At 46.3% G+C, this 13,366-nt stretch overlaps 3 annotated features.

Annotated features, from left to right (window-relative positions):
- Positions 1,355–1,404: an enhancer, noted in NCBI's record as "active region_17939". NCBI's record gives its function as "activates an Ori minimal core promoter by ATAC-STARR-seq in GM12878 lymphoblastoid cells {active_cell/tissue: GM12878}" and the evidence as "EXISTENCE:reporter gene assay evidence [ECO:0000049][PMID:35858748]".
- Positions 2,095–2,144: a silencer, noted in NCBI's record as "silent region_12947". NCBI's record gives its function as "represses an Ori minimal core promoter by ATAC-STARR-seq in GM12878 lymphoblastoid cells {active_cell/tissue: GM12878}" and the evidence as "EXISTENCE:reporter gene assay evidence [ECO:0000049][PMID:35858748]".
- Positions 13,247–13,366: a silencer, noted in NCBI's record as "silent region_12946". NCBI's record gives its function as "represses an Ori minimal core promoter by ATAC-STARR-seq in GM12878 lymphoblastoid cells {active_cell/tissue: GM12878}" and the evidence as "EXISTENCE:reporter gene assay evidence [ECO:0000049][PMID:35858748]".

Raw genomic sequence — 13,366 nt, 5'->3', positions numbered from 1 at the left:
GGTCTGGAGATTCCTCTCCACATTCCTAGGGGTTAAATCTGGGGACCCGGGTTCCCAGCATCAGCCATCACGTTCCCCAGAAGGAATCTCTATTCATAACAAACCCTAAAGGTCACTCGTCTGGGAAGGAGTCTTCTGTCTCCACCCCAGGGCAGGACAGAAGGCCCCAGGCTTTGTGAGAGCATCAGGTCCCCAGAGGAAGATCACCTGCTTTTGGCCAGCCTGTGAGCCCCTCTTCTTCCTCTGGGTCTCCTCTGTAGATGGTATCTAAAGAGGATGAATAAACATCCCAGTTGGAGATGAATGGCCATTGCCCGCAGAGAGCAATTGTGCGCTAAATGCATGGGCTCTGAACTCAGCCTGCCTGAGCTCAAATCCCCCTTTCATCACCTGCCAACCATGTGGCCTTGGGGAAGTTACTTTTCCTCTCTGTGCCTTAGTTTCCTCTTCTGTAAAATGGGGGATAATAACACCTACCGCACAGGGTTGTCATGAGGATTTAACGCCTTCTACTCACTCAGCAACTATTTGCTGAAGGCCTACCAACTTCCAGGCAGTGAGTAATATGGCAGTGAATACAACAGACAAAACTCCTTACCTTCATTTTTTTTTTTTTTTTTTGAGATGGAGTCTCGCTCTGTCGCCCAGGCTGGAATGCAGTGGCACCATCTCGGCTCACCGCAGGCTCTACCTCCCGGGTTCATGCCATTCTCCTGCCTCAGCCTCCCAAGTAGCTGGGACTACAGGCACCCGCCACCACGCCCGGCTAATTTTTTGTATTTTTAGTAGAGACAGGGTTTCACCATGTTAGCCAGAATGGTCTTGATCTCCTGATCTCGTGATCCGCCCACCTCCGCCTCCCAAAGTGCTGGGATTATAGGCGTGAGACACCGCGCCCGGCCATCTTCAATTTTTTAAAAGGAAATATAGTGAAGAATATTATATACTTCAGAAAATGCCAGCACCAAAAAACATGATGCAAATACAGTAAAATGTTAACAGTTGGAAATCTAGATGATGGGTAAGCGGTAAATGGGTCTTCATGATAGGTTTTCTGTATGTTTGAAGTTTTTTATAAATAAAAGGGAAAAGAAAAAAGAGGGAGAGAGAGAGAGAGGAATATCTGCCATTTTGAAACTTACAGTCAAGTGGGGAAATAGACAATAAACACATCAGTATAGCTGGACGTGGTGGCACGTGCCTGTAGTCCCAGCTATTCGGGAGGCTGAGGCAGGAGAATCGCTTTAACCTGGGAGGTGGAGGTTGCAGTGAGCTGAGATCGTGCCACTGCACTCCAGCCTGGGTGCAGCCTGGGTGACAGAGTGAGACTCCATCTCAAGAAAAAAAAAAAAAAAAAATGAAAACTTGTGGTGTGTCAATTGATGTTAAGAAGAGGAATAGAGAATGGCCAGGGTGGTAGAGGAAGTTCCTTTTAAGTCAGGCAGTCAGGGAAGGCCTCCCTGGGAAAGTGACAGGGAAAGTGACATCAGACAGGAGAGCCTAGTTCTCCCAGCTTCCAGGCCTAGGTGCTCCCAGTGTCCATGTACAACCTTCTGCCCAGGAAAAGAGTCATTGTCAAAGCCCAGGACCCAAGCCTCTTGAGACTGTGGGATCTTGAATTATGTGCAGCAGATATTCTCAGTCTGAAATTCAGATGGGCTGGAAATGTAATCTATTTTAAATTCATTCTCATTTCAATGCTCCATTCCATATGTGGGCAGAAAATTCATCTTATTCAATTGGGATTTTTTTCCCCAACCCCATCACTTTCCCAGCTCCATTCATTTTTTTTCCCCAATTGTATCTAGGCGTGAGGTTGTCTCTGGCCCTCTTGGCCATTTTATCTCTTGAGATCCTCCCTGCTCTCTGCTTCTGAATTCTTCAAAGCTCTCTGGGGCCCACTGACCAACAAAATCCAAAATATGCTCACTCATAGCTTTTTCTCTGACCTCCTTCCCAGCCTTCTTAGATGGGAGGAAGGAGGGAGGGGAGGGGAGAGCTGTGCATCAGTCAGGGTAGGGTGAGTTCTGCTACAGTAACAGCAACGCTCAAGTCCTGTTTCTCAGTGGCTCCTGATGCACGTCCCCTGCTGGGCAGCTGCTGCGCTGCTCTGTGTCTCCTTGCTCCTGGATCCCAGCTGATAGAACAACCACCATTTCAACTGTTGCACAGCAGAGGGCAAGAGAAAGCATCAAGCCACAGACTGGCTCCTAAAGTCTCCCCCAGGAAGTGGCACACTTCACTTCTGCACACATTTCATTGGCCAAAGCTTGTTACTTGGCTGTACCTAACTTCAAGCAGAGGAGGGAGTTCAAGTGGAAATCCTACTATGGGCCTGTGCTGTGGTCTGAATGTGTTCCCCAAAGTTCAGATGTTGAGACCTAATCCCCACAGTGATAGCCTTAAGAGGTGGGGCCTTTGGAAGTTGATTAGGTCAGGAGGGCTCCACCCATGAATGGGATTAGTGTTCTTGTAAAAGAGGCTTGAGGGAGCCCATCTGTCCCTTCTGCCATGTGAGGACACACAGAAGTCACCATCTATAAGAAACAGGCTCCCACCAGACACTGAGTCTGCTGGAGCCTTGATCTTGAATTTCCCAACCTCCAGAACTGTGAGCAATGAATTTCTGTTGTTTATAAATTACCCAGTCTAAGATGTTTTGCTGTAGCAGCCTGAACAGACTAAGGCACCCTAAAAGGAAAAGAAACAGAGTATTTGTGGACAGTCCCTAAAGACAGTCACAGAAAGTGAGAGCCTCTTTCAGATTCATTAGGTGTTCAAGATGCCCAAGTCTCTTAGGAATGTTCTTTCCTGGGAGGAAGGGGTGTTTTTGAAACCCAGAAATGTATTCTCTGCTTTTACTAACACATCTGTTTCCTGAGTCAGTAGATGTTCTGCAGTCTAACTGCCTAAATAGGGAACAAAAAATCCAAGGAGAAAACTCGTGCAGCCTTAGATTCCTGGATTTTGAGTATCATGTAATCTTAGACTGGAATCTGAGAAAATGGGACCTGAGAATCTTGCAACCACAGATTTCAAACCTGAAAGGTCTTTGAATCTAATTTCACTTTCTATGCAGTAACTGTCTTAATAATCTTCCTTGCAGGTGGCCACCAGACTTTCTCTGCTTGTATCCTCCCAGGACCACAGAACTCATCGCATCCCAAGGCAGCCTATTCCATCATGGATGAGCTCAAAGTGTTTGAAAGTTCTGCTTTATCAAGTGAGCCAAACTTCCTCCCTCAGGACCATCCACTCCAGGGCCCAGTTATTCTACTGGAGGAGTGAGGGTAAAGCCATCACCAGGACAACCTTGGTGACAGGCTGGACTGGCAGCCAGCTTTTGGGGATGACTTCAGGGAACCCTGAATAGCCATGGGAGCCAAATGTATTACTCCTCTGATGCCTACAATTCCACTATAATAGTCTGGTGGGCTTCTGTTAGGGAGGCTTATACATGGTGGAAAGAATAAAGGCTTGGACTCAGCCTAGGTTCAAGTACTGCATCTTGACCTGGCCTGTAGGCAAGTCTTTTCACTTCTCTGAGTTTTGGCTTTCTCATTTGTCCAATAGGAATAACAATAATGATAATAATAATACCTCCCATGCAGGATTGCTAGTATGTTCAATGGGATAATATATCTAAACACCTCACACAATGCCTGGCACATAGCAGGTGTTCAATTAGGTCTGTATTAAAATCCAGGCTCTGTCTCTTATTATTTATATGTCCTTGGACTTCATTTCCTTGAACCCTAGACTCCCCATCTCTAAGGTGGGGTTGATATTACTCACATCCCACCAGGCTCTGGTCAGAATCTTTTAAGTGTTTATTTACAGATAATGTGCCAAGTTCTTTATCTGAATTGGACATTTAATCCTTTACTCTGTGGGTAGAATATTTATAATCACCCCAATGTTTTCAATGGGGAAACTAGGGCTCAGTGAGGTTGATTGACTTTGCCCAAGGTCACATGGCTGGTGAGGTGGCAGACTCAAGATTTGAGTCCAGGCATTTTGCTCCCGTGTATACACTGTGTGTATAAAGGACCTGGCACAAAGCAGCCAGGTCATTTTGTGCTTGAACTGCTGCTCTGTCCCCAACTTCCCCAAAAAAGCACAACATCCAGAGTAGGCCAAAGCTATGTTACTTGGCTCTACCTAACTTCAAGCAGAGGAGGGGTTTCAAGGGAACCAAGTATTTGTAGTGCAAAGCCACTGAGGTTTTGGAGTTATTCGTTGTAACAGCTGGCATGGCTTAACCTTGTCCTCTTAGCTGTTTTCAGCATTTGCACCTGAGTGTCAATCAGCTAGGATGTTTTAGGCTGCAAGTAATAGAATACCCTATTACTCCTGAATTCAATAATAGGTGCCTTCGCAGTCAAGAAATCTGGAGGTTACGTGGCTCCAGTTTTGGTTCATTCAGAGGTTCAGTGATGTCATCTAGGACCCGCATTTTGGCTTCAGCACCCTCAGTATATTGGCTGTAGCCCTGAGGCTTGGCCCGTCATGCTCTCAACATGGCTGCCAAAGTTCCAGACATCGCATCCTCATGCAACCACTTAAAGGGAAAGAATAGGGGACCTTCCCCACACCCCTTTTTATATAATAATTGAGGCCAGCCCTTCTCAAACCTCCTGTCCCAGCATACTTTCTTTATGTTTTATTGGCCAGAACTGGGTCATGTTCTTGTGGAAGACTACCAAGGCTCACCAATAGCCATCTTCTTCTTCCTGGGCACACATGTGGGATACATTTCCCAGCCTTCTTTGCAGTTAGATGTGGTCATGTGACTGAGCTCTGGCCAATGGGATGTAAGCAAAAATAATTGTACTGATTTCAGGTCTGGCTTATAAAAATCTTCTACCCACAATCTTTCTGCCATCTGCCTGCTGAATGGAGAGGACTCTGAGAATGAGGAAAGCCACAAATAGGAAAAGTCTCAATCCCTATATGACCTGCAGAAAACAGAGCCCTCCTGTCAAGACTTATTGCAGTTTGATGTGAGAAAGAACCAAGCATTTATAATGCAAAGCCACTGAGGTTTTGGAGTTATTTGTTACAGCAGTCAACATGGCTAAACCCAAGGCATAGAAGGACGGAGCTCAGGGAGACAGCTGCCTTCCTCACATGCTGGGGCTAAGAGGGGTGCGAGCAGGGAGGAGAAGGGCTTCTGTAGATGTCCAAATCTGACCCAGGCCAGCTTCCACCACTGTCTAGCTGTGTGACTCTGGGCAAGTGCATGACCCTTTCTGAGCCTCCTTAAATAGTTACGTGAGGCAGTGGGACTGGAGGCTCTCACCCTAAGTGCCCATATGATTATGACATTCACTGACTCCTTCCTCACAGCAGCCAGTGGCCAAAGAGAAAGGGTGTGGCTCCCCTAGGGGCTCCGGGTCAGGGTCACTGCTCTGTCTGGAATCTGGGCTCTGCTGCCCAGAACGGCCCTCCTGATGTCTGGAATTCCACCATGAGTGACTCATGCCTTTGGGAAGCCACTGCCCTGACCCCACTGAGTAATAACAATAACAGCCCCTCGTGGCTTTTTCTTTGCTGAGAGTTTCATAGTCCATGGTCTAATCTGGTCCCCAGCACACGGCTGTGAGTAGGCAGTGAAGGTGGAGAGAGTTAGAATTGCCATACACGATGCAGGAAGCAATGTGCCCACAGCTACACAGCAAGTTAGTGGCCAAGCCTAGAGTCCTGGACAGTGGCTTTTTCCCCAAAAACCCTTTGCTTGAAAAGGCTGCCTCTGATATTCGTGTGTCCATGTTCATAGCAGATTATTCACAATAGCCAAAAGGTGAAAGGCACTCAAGTGTCCATTGATAGATTAGTGGATAAGCAAAATATAGTGTATCCACACAATGGAAGATTTTCAGCCTTAAAAAAGGAAGGCAATTCTGATACATGCTACAACAGGGATGAAGCTTGAGGACATTATGCTAAGTGAAATAAATCAGTCACAGAAAGATGCATACTGTGTGATTCCATTTATAGGAGGTATCTGTCAAAAGTAGTCCAATTCATAGAGACAGAAAGTGGAATTGCCAGGGGCTGGGGAGGGGGAAATGAGAAGTTTCCTTAATGGGTTTAGAATTTCAGTTTTGCAAGATGACGAGTTCTGTGGAAGGATGGTGATAGAAACTCAATAATGTGAATGTACTTAAAGCCATGCATTGTACATTTAAAATTGCTTAGATGGTAAATTTTATGTTCGGTGTGTTTTGCCAAAATGTAAAAGTTAAAAAAAAAAAAAAAAGCTCTCCTAAGAGGTAGATGCTAAGTTCTAATATTTTTCAGGACATATAAATTAGTTTACCATGATTTGTATCAGTCAGGATAGGCTAGGTCATGCTGCTGTAACAAACAGCTCCAAATTCTGACTCTAGATTAGACTGCCCTTACACTAACTCTGTTCCTCCTGGAACATTCTTCTTTACCATCCTAAACCTCTCCCTACTCTGCCTGTATCCCAAACCTGGAATAAGGCAATAGAATCAGACATACTCAAACTTGTCTGGCTGTGTGACTGTGGGCAAACCAGTTAACCTCTCTGGGCCTCAGTTTACTGATCTGAAAAATGGGGACAATAAATGAACCTTGAGAAGAGAATTCAAGGAGTATGGAAACATTTAGCATGATCTAGGGCATAGTGTCAGGCTGTGGGTATATTTAAACCTCATGCAGAGCTTGGCACCCAGGCAGGAATGGGGTAGGCTTCAGTCTCCTGCCAGTCAGGCCCTCAGCCTGAACAATCTCGAGAACACCTTCTTCCAGCCAGCCTTGCGTCAGGGCCGGGGAATGGGTGGGACAGGAGCCAGAGGCTGCAGAGACAGCCGTCTAGCGCCTGGGATACTTTTCTCCCCAATAATCTGTTTTCAATCTTTCATTATTATATTTTTTTCTTTTTTGAAAGCCATCCTGCCAAGCAACAGGCATGCAAGTGTAGTCAACTCCCAGCCCAGCCTACATCAAAGTCTTTGCGAATTTCTGCTTTGAATCATGGGGTAGGGGACCCTGCCTTATATCACATGTGTCCAGCCTCCACACTTTTGCAAGTGTGCTGTTTCCACACCCTGCCATGCCCCATGCCCTCTGTCTTTCCAGATTCTGTTCACCATCTGTCAAGGCTTGGCCACAGGGCTCTCCCCTGCCAACAGCTCTCTGATGTCTCTCCCTCCCTTGTTAACACAACCCCTACAGTCTCACCAGAGCTGGGGACATGTATTGAATTCTCATCTTCTTTATTTAACACCTTTGAGGGCAGGGACAGCATCATCCACTTTGTCTGATGACTTTCATGAATCGATAAAGTGTTTTTTGTCACCACCATACCAATGGCAGGAGAGATGATGAGGATGTTTATCCCCATTTTACAGATGAGAACATGGAGGTCATGAGACCGGAAGTGATAGTCACCCGGTTGGGGAATCAGGCCCTCTATCCCGACGCCCTCGCTCTCTCTAATCTACCCTGCTGGGCTGAGCACACAGTAGGTGTGTGCCTAAATGTGCATGAGTAGGGGGCTGGGCAAAGGCTGGGGACTGGCAAGCTCTTCCCTGAACTCATTTCCTCTTCTGCCTGGACAAGCAGTGAGTCTACATTTCCAACCTTCCTTGCGAGGAAAACAAAGTCTTCCAGTGGACTGATTATGAAAGCGGGCCAGATTCTGCACCACTATCTGTTTCCACACCCCTTTGCAATGTGACTTTGCCTTCGTTCTCTCCAATGTGGGTTGGCTTTGGGACTCTCTTTGGTCCATTGAATGTGGTGGAAGTGACCTTGTGCTAGTTCTGAGCCTGAGCCTCAAAAAGAATGCAGTCCTTGCAGTCTCTCTCTCTCTCTCTCTCCCACCCTCTGCTCCCCACCTTCCCCCACCCCCCTGAACCTGACCCACCCCCGCCAGCCTCCTCCACCATGAGACAAGCCAAGGCTAGCCCACTGGAGAATGGGACCAACTCTTTTTTTTGAGACGAAGTCTCACTCACTTTGTCATCCAGGCTGGAGTACAGTGGGGCAACCTCTGCTCGTTGCAACCTCTGCCTCCCAGGTTCAAGCGATTCTTCTGCCCCAGCCTCCCAAGTAGCTGGGACTACAGGCACACACCACCATGCCTGGATAATTTTTGTATTTTTAGTAGAGGCAGGTTTTGCCATGTTGGCCAGGCTGGTCTCGAACTCCTGACCTCAAGTGATCCACCTGTCTCGGACTCCCAAAGTGTGCCTGGCCCCAATTCTTACATAAGACAGTTCTACCATCACTTTAAGTCACAAACATGGTCTCAACTCAAATTTAAAATGTCCAGTCAAGCTATTAATCCAAACTCCCAATTGGATCTAGGTTTAAACCTTCTCCCCTTGCCCAGCTGGGGCCTGTCCTGGGGAGGCAGTTTGGGGGGCTCCTTCTCTGGACCTCCTCCCCTCCCCCACAAGTGGGGGCTGTGGAGATAGTAAGGGGAGGGGAAGGGTCTCACTTGAGCTGCCGCCATCCTGCTGGCTTCCAGCTGACAGTGTCACAGATGTCCCACAGATGGCCATTGCTGCAGGGCTCCCTCACTCTTGACCCTGGGGGGGATGCACTTCTCCTTCTGGAGGTCCCTTGCAAGTCCTTCCTCGGCCCTCAGGAATCCAACATCCAACTCCAGCTTCTTGCTGCTAAGACCACTCCACCCTCCAGGAGGCCCTAGGGAACAAGACCCAAGCAGACCCCTGCAAGCTACCCCCACCCCAGCCCACAACGAATCCCCAAACCCTTCCATGTCCCCTGCCTGGCATCTGGAGGGGCAGTATTGGCCCCCTCTGGGTGAGGTCTCATAGCTGGAGCTGCCGCTCCTCCTGCAACACCTCCTCCCCAAACCCCAAGCCCTTTATTTTCCCACAGTCAGTGAGGGGGTGAAGGCTGGGGAGAGAGATCCTCGGCCACCTTCTTTGTAAATCCGTCGGACCTGATGATCCAGTCTAGAATTTCACATCTTTCCTATCCTGGGGTCTTCTGTTGAATATTTTGATATATTTCAACATAAGGAAACAGGACTTATATACTGTTCTTGCTCTGGATTTTATTATCTTTGTATCTTACATATTTTCTCACCTTTCCTTATAGATACCTCACTTGAAAAATTTTAATTGCAGCAAAATATACATAACATAAAATTTAGCTAATTAGGAAGGGCACAGTGGCTCACGCCTGTAATCCCAGCACTTTGGGAGGCCGAGGCAGGTGGATCACGAGGTCAGGAGGTCGAGACCATCCTGGCTAACACGGTGAAACTCCGTCTCTACTAAAAATACAAAAAATTAGCTGGGCGTTGTGGCAGGTGCCTGTAGTCCCAGGTATTAGGGAGGCCGAGGCAGGAGAATGGCATGAACCCAGGAGGTGGAGCTTGCAGTGAGTCGAGATCACGTCACTACACTCCAGCCTGGGTGACACAGCGAGACTTCATCTCAAAAAAAAAAAAACCAAAAATTAGCTAATTAATCATTTGAAGTGTACAGTTTTGTGGCATTAAATATAGTCACATTGTTCTGCAACCATCACCACCAAACCTCTCCAAAATGTTACCTTGCAAAACTGAAACTCTGTACCCATTAAACACTAACATCCTATTCCCCCTCCTCCCAGCTCCTGGAATTGCCATTCTACTTTCTGTCCCTATGAATTGGGCTACTTTTTTTTTTTTTTTTTTTGAGACGGATCTCACTCTGTCGCCTAGGCTGGAGTGCAGTGGCGCGATCTCGGCTCACTGCAACCTCCGCCTCCCGGGTTCAAGCGATTCTCCTGCCTCAGCCTCCCCAGTAGCTGGGATTATAAGCACATACCACCACGCCTGGCTAACTTTTGTATTTTTAGTTAAGATGGGGTTTCACCATGTTGGCCAGGCTGGTCTCAAACTCCTGACCTCAGGTGGTCTGCCCACCTTGGCCTCTCAAAGTGCTGGGATTATAGGCGTAAGCCACCGCATCCAGCCTACTTTAGACAGATACTTTGTCTAAGTGGAATAATACAGTATTTGTGCCTTCTTGTCTGGCTCATCTCATTTAGCATAGTGTCCTCAAGGGTCATCCACGCTGTAGCATCTATCAGAATTTCCTTCCTCCTTAAGGCTGAATAATATTCCATTTACATATAGACCACACTTTGTTTATTCATTCGTCCATTGTTGGATACTTGGATTGCTTCCACCTTTGACTATTGTGAATAGTGCTGCTATGATCACGGGTGTACACATATCTGTTCAAGACCCTGCTTTTCAGTTATTTTGGGCACACACCCACAAGCAGAATGACTGGATCATAAGGTAATTTTATTTTACATTTTTCGAGGAACTGCTGTACAGTTTTCCGTGGCTGTTATACCATTTTACATTCCTACCAACAGGGCACAATGGTTCCAATTTCTTCACATCCTCACCAACACTTATTTTCATTTTTTAAAAATAGTAGTCATCCTAGTAGGTGTGAGATGGCATGTTTCCAATCTTTTGCTGATAAAAACGGCAGTGGATAATCTTGTACACACCTCATTTCACACATATGAAAATATATCTGTCGTTTAATTCCTAAGAGTGGAATTGCTGGATCAAAGCATCTTTTGGAATTTCTTATGGAAGTCTAACTTATACACAAAGTTGCACACAAATCCCAAGTGCTTAGCTTGATGAATTTTCACGGAGTGACCACGCTCCTGAAGATGGTGTCCAGAACATTGTCAGCCCCAGAGAAGCCCCCAGATGGCCCCCAAAGAGCAGCCATCATCCTGACTTTAACATCATAAATTAGTTTTGCCTCTTGTGAACTTTTTGTGAGTGGAATCACACAATATGTATTATTTTGCGTGTGGCTTCTTTTGCTCGACACATATGTGTGCAAGTTCCATCTACACTGCTGTGTGTAGTTGTTCATTCATTTTCATTCTCACTGGAGTATTGCATTGTATGAAGATACCACAATTTATCCGTTCTGCTGTCGATGAGCATTTGGGTAGTTCCTGGTTTAGGGATATTTCAAATTATGTGGCTATGGAGATCACTGGCATAGTCCTGTCCAATAAAATATGATAGACACAGAAGAACTGAAAATATGAGTCAAACAGATATTTGTACCAAAATGTTCACAGCAGCACTATTCACCATAGCCAAAAGTGGAAACAACCGAAATGCCCATCAGTGAATGAATGGATAAACAAAATGTGGTATATCCTTACAATGGAACATTATTCAGTCTTAAAAAAGGAAGGAAGGTCTGACATATGCTACAACATGCGTGAACCTTGAAGACACTATACTGAGTGAAATAAGCCAGCAACCAAGGACAAATTGTATATGATTTCTCCCGTATGAGGCAACCTAGAATAGTCCAGTTCACAGAGACAGAAAGTAGAATAGTGGCTGCCAGGGGCTGGGAGGAGAGGAGCAAGCGGAGTTGTTGTTTTATAGAGGCAGAGTGTCAGTTTGGGAAGATGAAAACGCTCTGGGGGTAGATGATGGTGATGGTTGCGCAACAATGGGAATGTACTTAACACAGCTGAACTTCTGGACCCTTAAAAATGGTCCAAATGGTAAATGTTATGCATATCTTACCACAATAAAAAGGTAAAAATATATAATATGATCCACAATGCAAGCCATGTATATTTCTAGCAGCCACATTCAAAAAAGAAAAAGAAATAGGTAAAAGTAATTTTAAAAATTACTTAACCCAGGCCAGGTACAGTGGCTCATGCTTGTAATCCCAGCATTTTGGGAGGCTGAGGTGGGCAGATCACTTGAGGTCAGGAGTTTGAGACCAGCCTGGCCAACATGGTGAAACCCCATCTCTACTAAACATACAAAACAAAATTAACTACGGGTGGTAGCAGGTGCCTGTAGTCCCAGCTGCTCAGGAGGCTGAGGCAGGAGAGTCACTTGAATCCGGGAGGCAGAGGTTGCAGTGAGCCAAGATCATGCCACTGCACTCCAGCCTGGGCGACATAGTGAGACTCCGTCTCAAAAAAATAAAAAACAAAAATAAAAATTACTTAATCCAATCTATCCAAAATATTATTGCGACACATCATCAATATTAGCAAGTTATTAAGGAGTCATTTTGCATTTTTGTTAGTATACAAAATCCCATATATATTTCACACTTGCAGCACATCTCAATTTGACCAGCCATATTTCTTTCTTTTTTCTGAGACTGTCTCGCTCTGCTGCTCAGGCCGGAGTGCAGTAGCACGATCTTGGCTCACTGCAGCCTCCGCCCCTGGGTTCAAGCAATTGTTGTGCCTCAGCCTCCCAAGTAGCTGGAACTACAGGTACGTGCCACCACGCCTGGCTGATTTTTGTATTTTTAGTAGAGACAGGGTTTTGCCATGTCAGCCAGGCTTGGATCAGCCATATTTCAAGGACTCAGCAGCCACATGTGGTGGGTGGCTCCACATCAGATCATGCAGGTCTAGTTCAAGTCTTTTGATGAATGTATCATGCATACCTGTTAGATATGTGCATTTTTAATTTTGATAGATGTTACCAGATTAGCTTCTATAGGTGTTAAACCAAGTTTTCTTTTCTGGTTTTTTTTTTTTTTTTTTTTTGGTTTGTTTGGAGATGGAGTCTCACTCTGTTGCCCAGGATGGAGTGCAATGGCGAGATCTCAGCTCACTGCAAGCTCCGCCTCCTGGGTTCAAGTGATTCTCCTGCCTCAGCCTCCCGAGTAGCTGGGACTACTGGCGTGTGCCACCACACCCAGCTAATGTTTGTATTTTTAGTAGAGACAGGGTTTCGCCATATTGGCCAGGCTGGTCTTGAACTCCCGACCTCAGGTGATCCGCCCTCCTCGGCCTCCCAAAGTGCTGGGATTACAGGTGTGAGCTATCGCACCTGGCCAAAACCAAGTTTTAATCCCACCAACAATGTAAGAAGGAGTGTGTCTCCATATCCCCACCTGCATAAGTTTGCCAGTTTGATAGCAAAACAGTGCCTGCTCAGGTGGTGTGGGTTTAACACGTTTCTCTTCCTAGGAGTGAAAATGAGAATCTTTTTATATGTTAAAATGCCGCTGCGCTTTCCTTTCTGTGAACCATTGGCTCACCAATTTGAGGGCTATTTTATACTTCTCTCACCCCTCTCCCCGTTCTCCAGGCCCCACCAGAGTTGGGACTAAATGAGGGCTCAAAGCCAGATATTTCAGAATCGTGCTGTTGTCTTGCTGGCAAATTCTGTCTGAGTTCTGGGAAGCAGGGCTTATCCTTGAGGGCACACCGCCCCCTGCTGGCCAAGATGGGTTTTTCCTCCCCAGCTTAGACCAGGAGAGGAGGCAGGACGGCTGGCGACTGAGGGGGGCTGCCTCTGGAGTCTGGGTTTGATCTCACGTATACCATTGAC

This window comes from Homo sapiens, chromosome 20, assembly GCF_000001405.40.
Source record: "Homo sapiens chromosome 20, GRCh38.p14 Primary Assembly".
NCBI lineage: Eukaryota > Metazoa > Chordata > Mammalia > Primates > Hominidae > Homo > Homo sapiens.
This window is presented reverse-complemented; position numbering and strand designations above follow the sequence as displayed.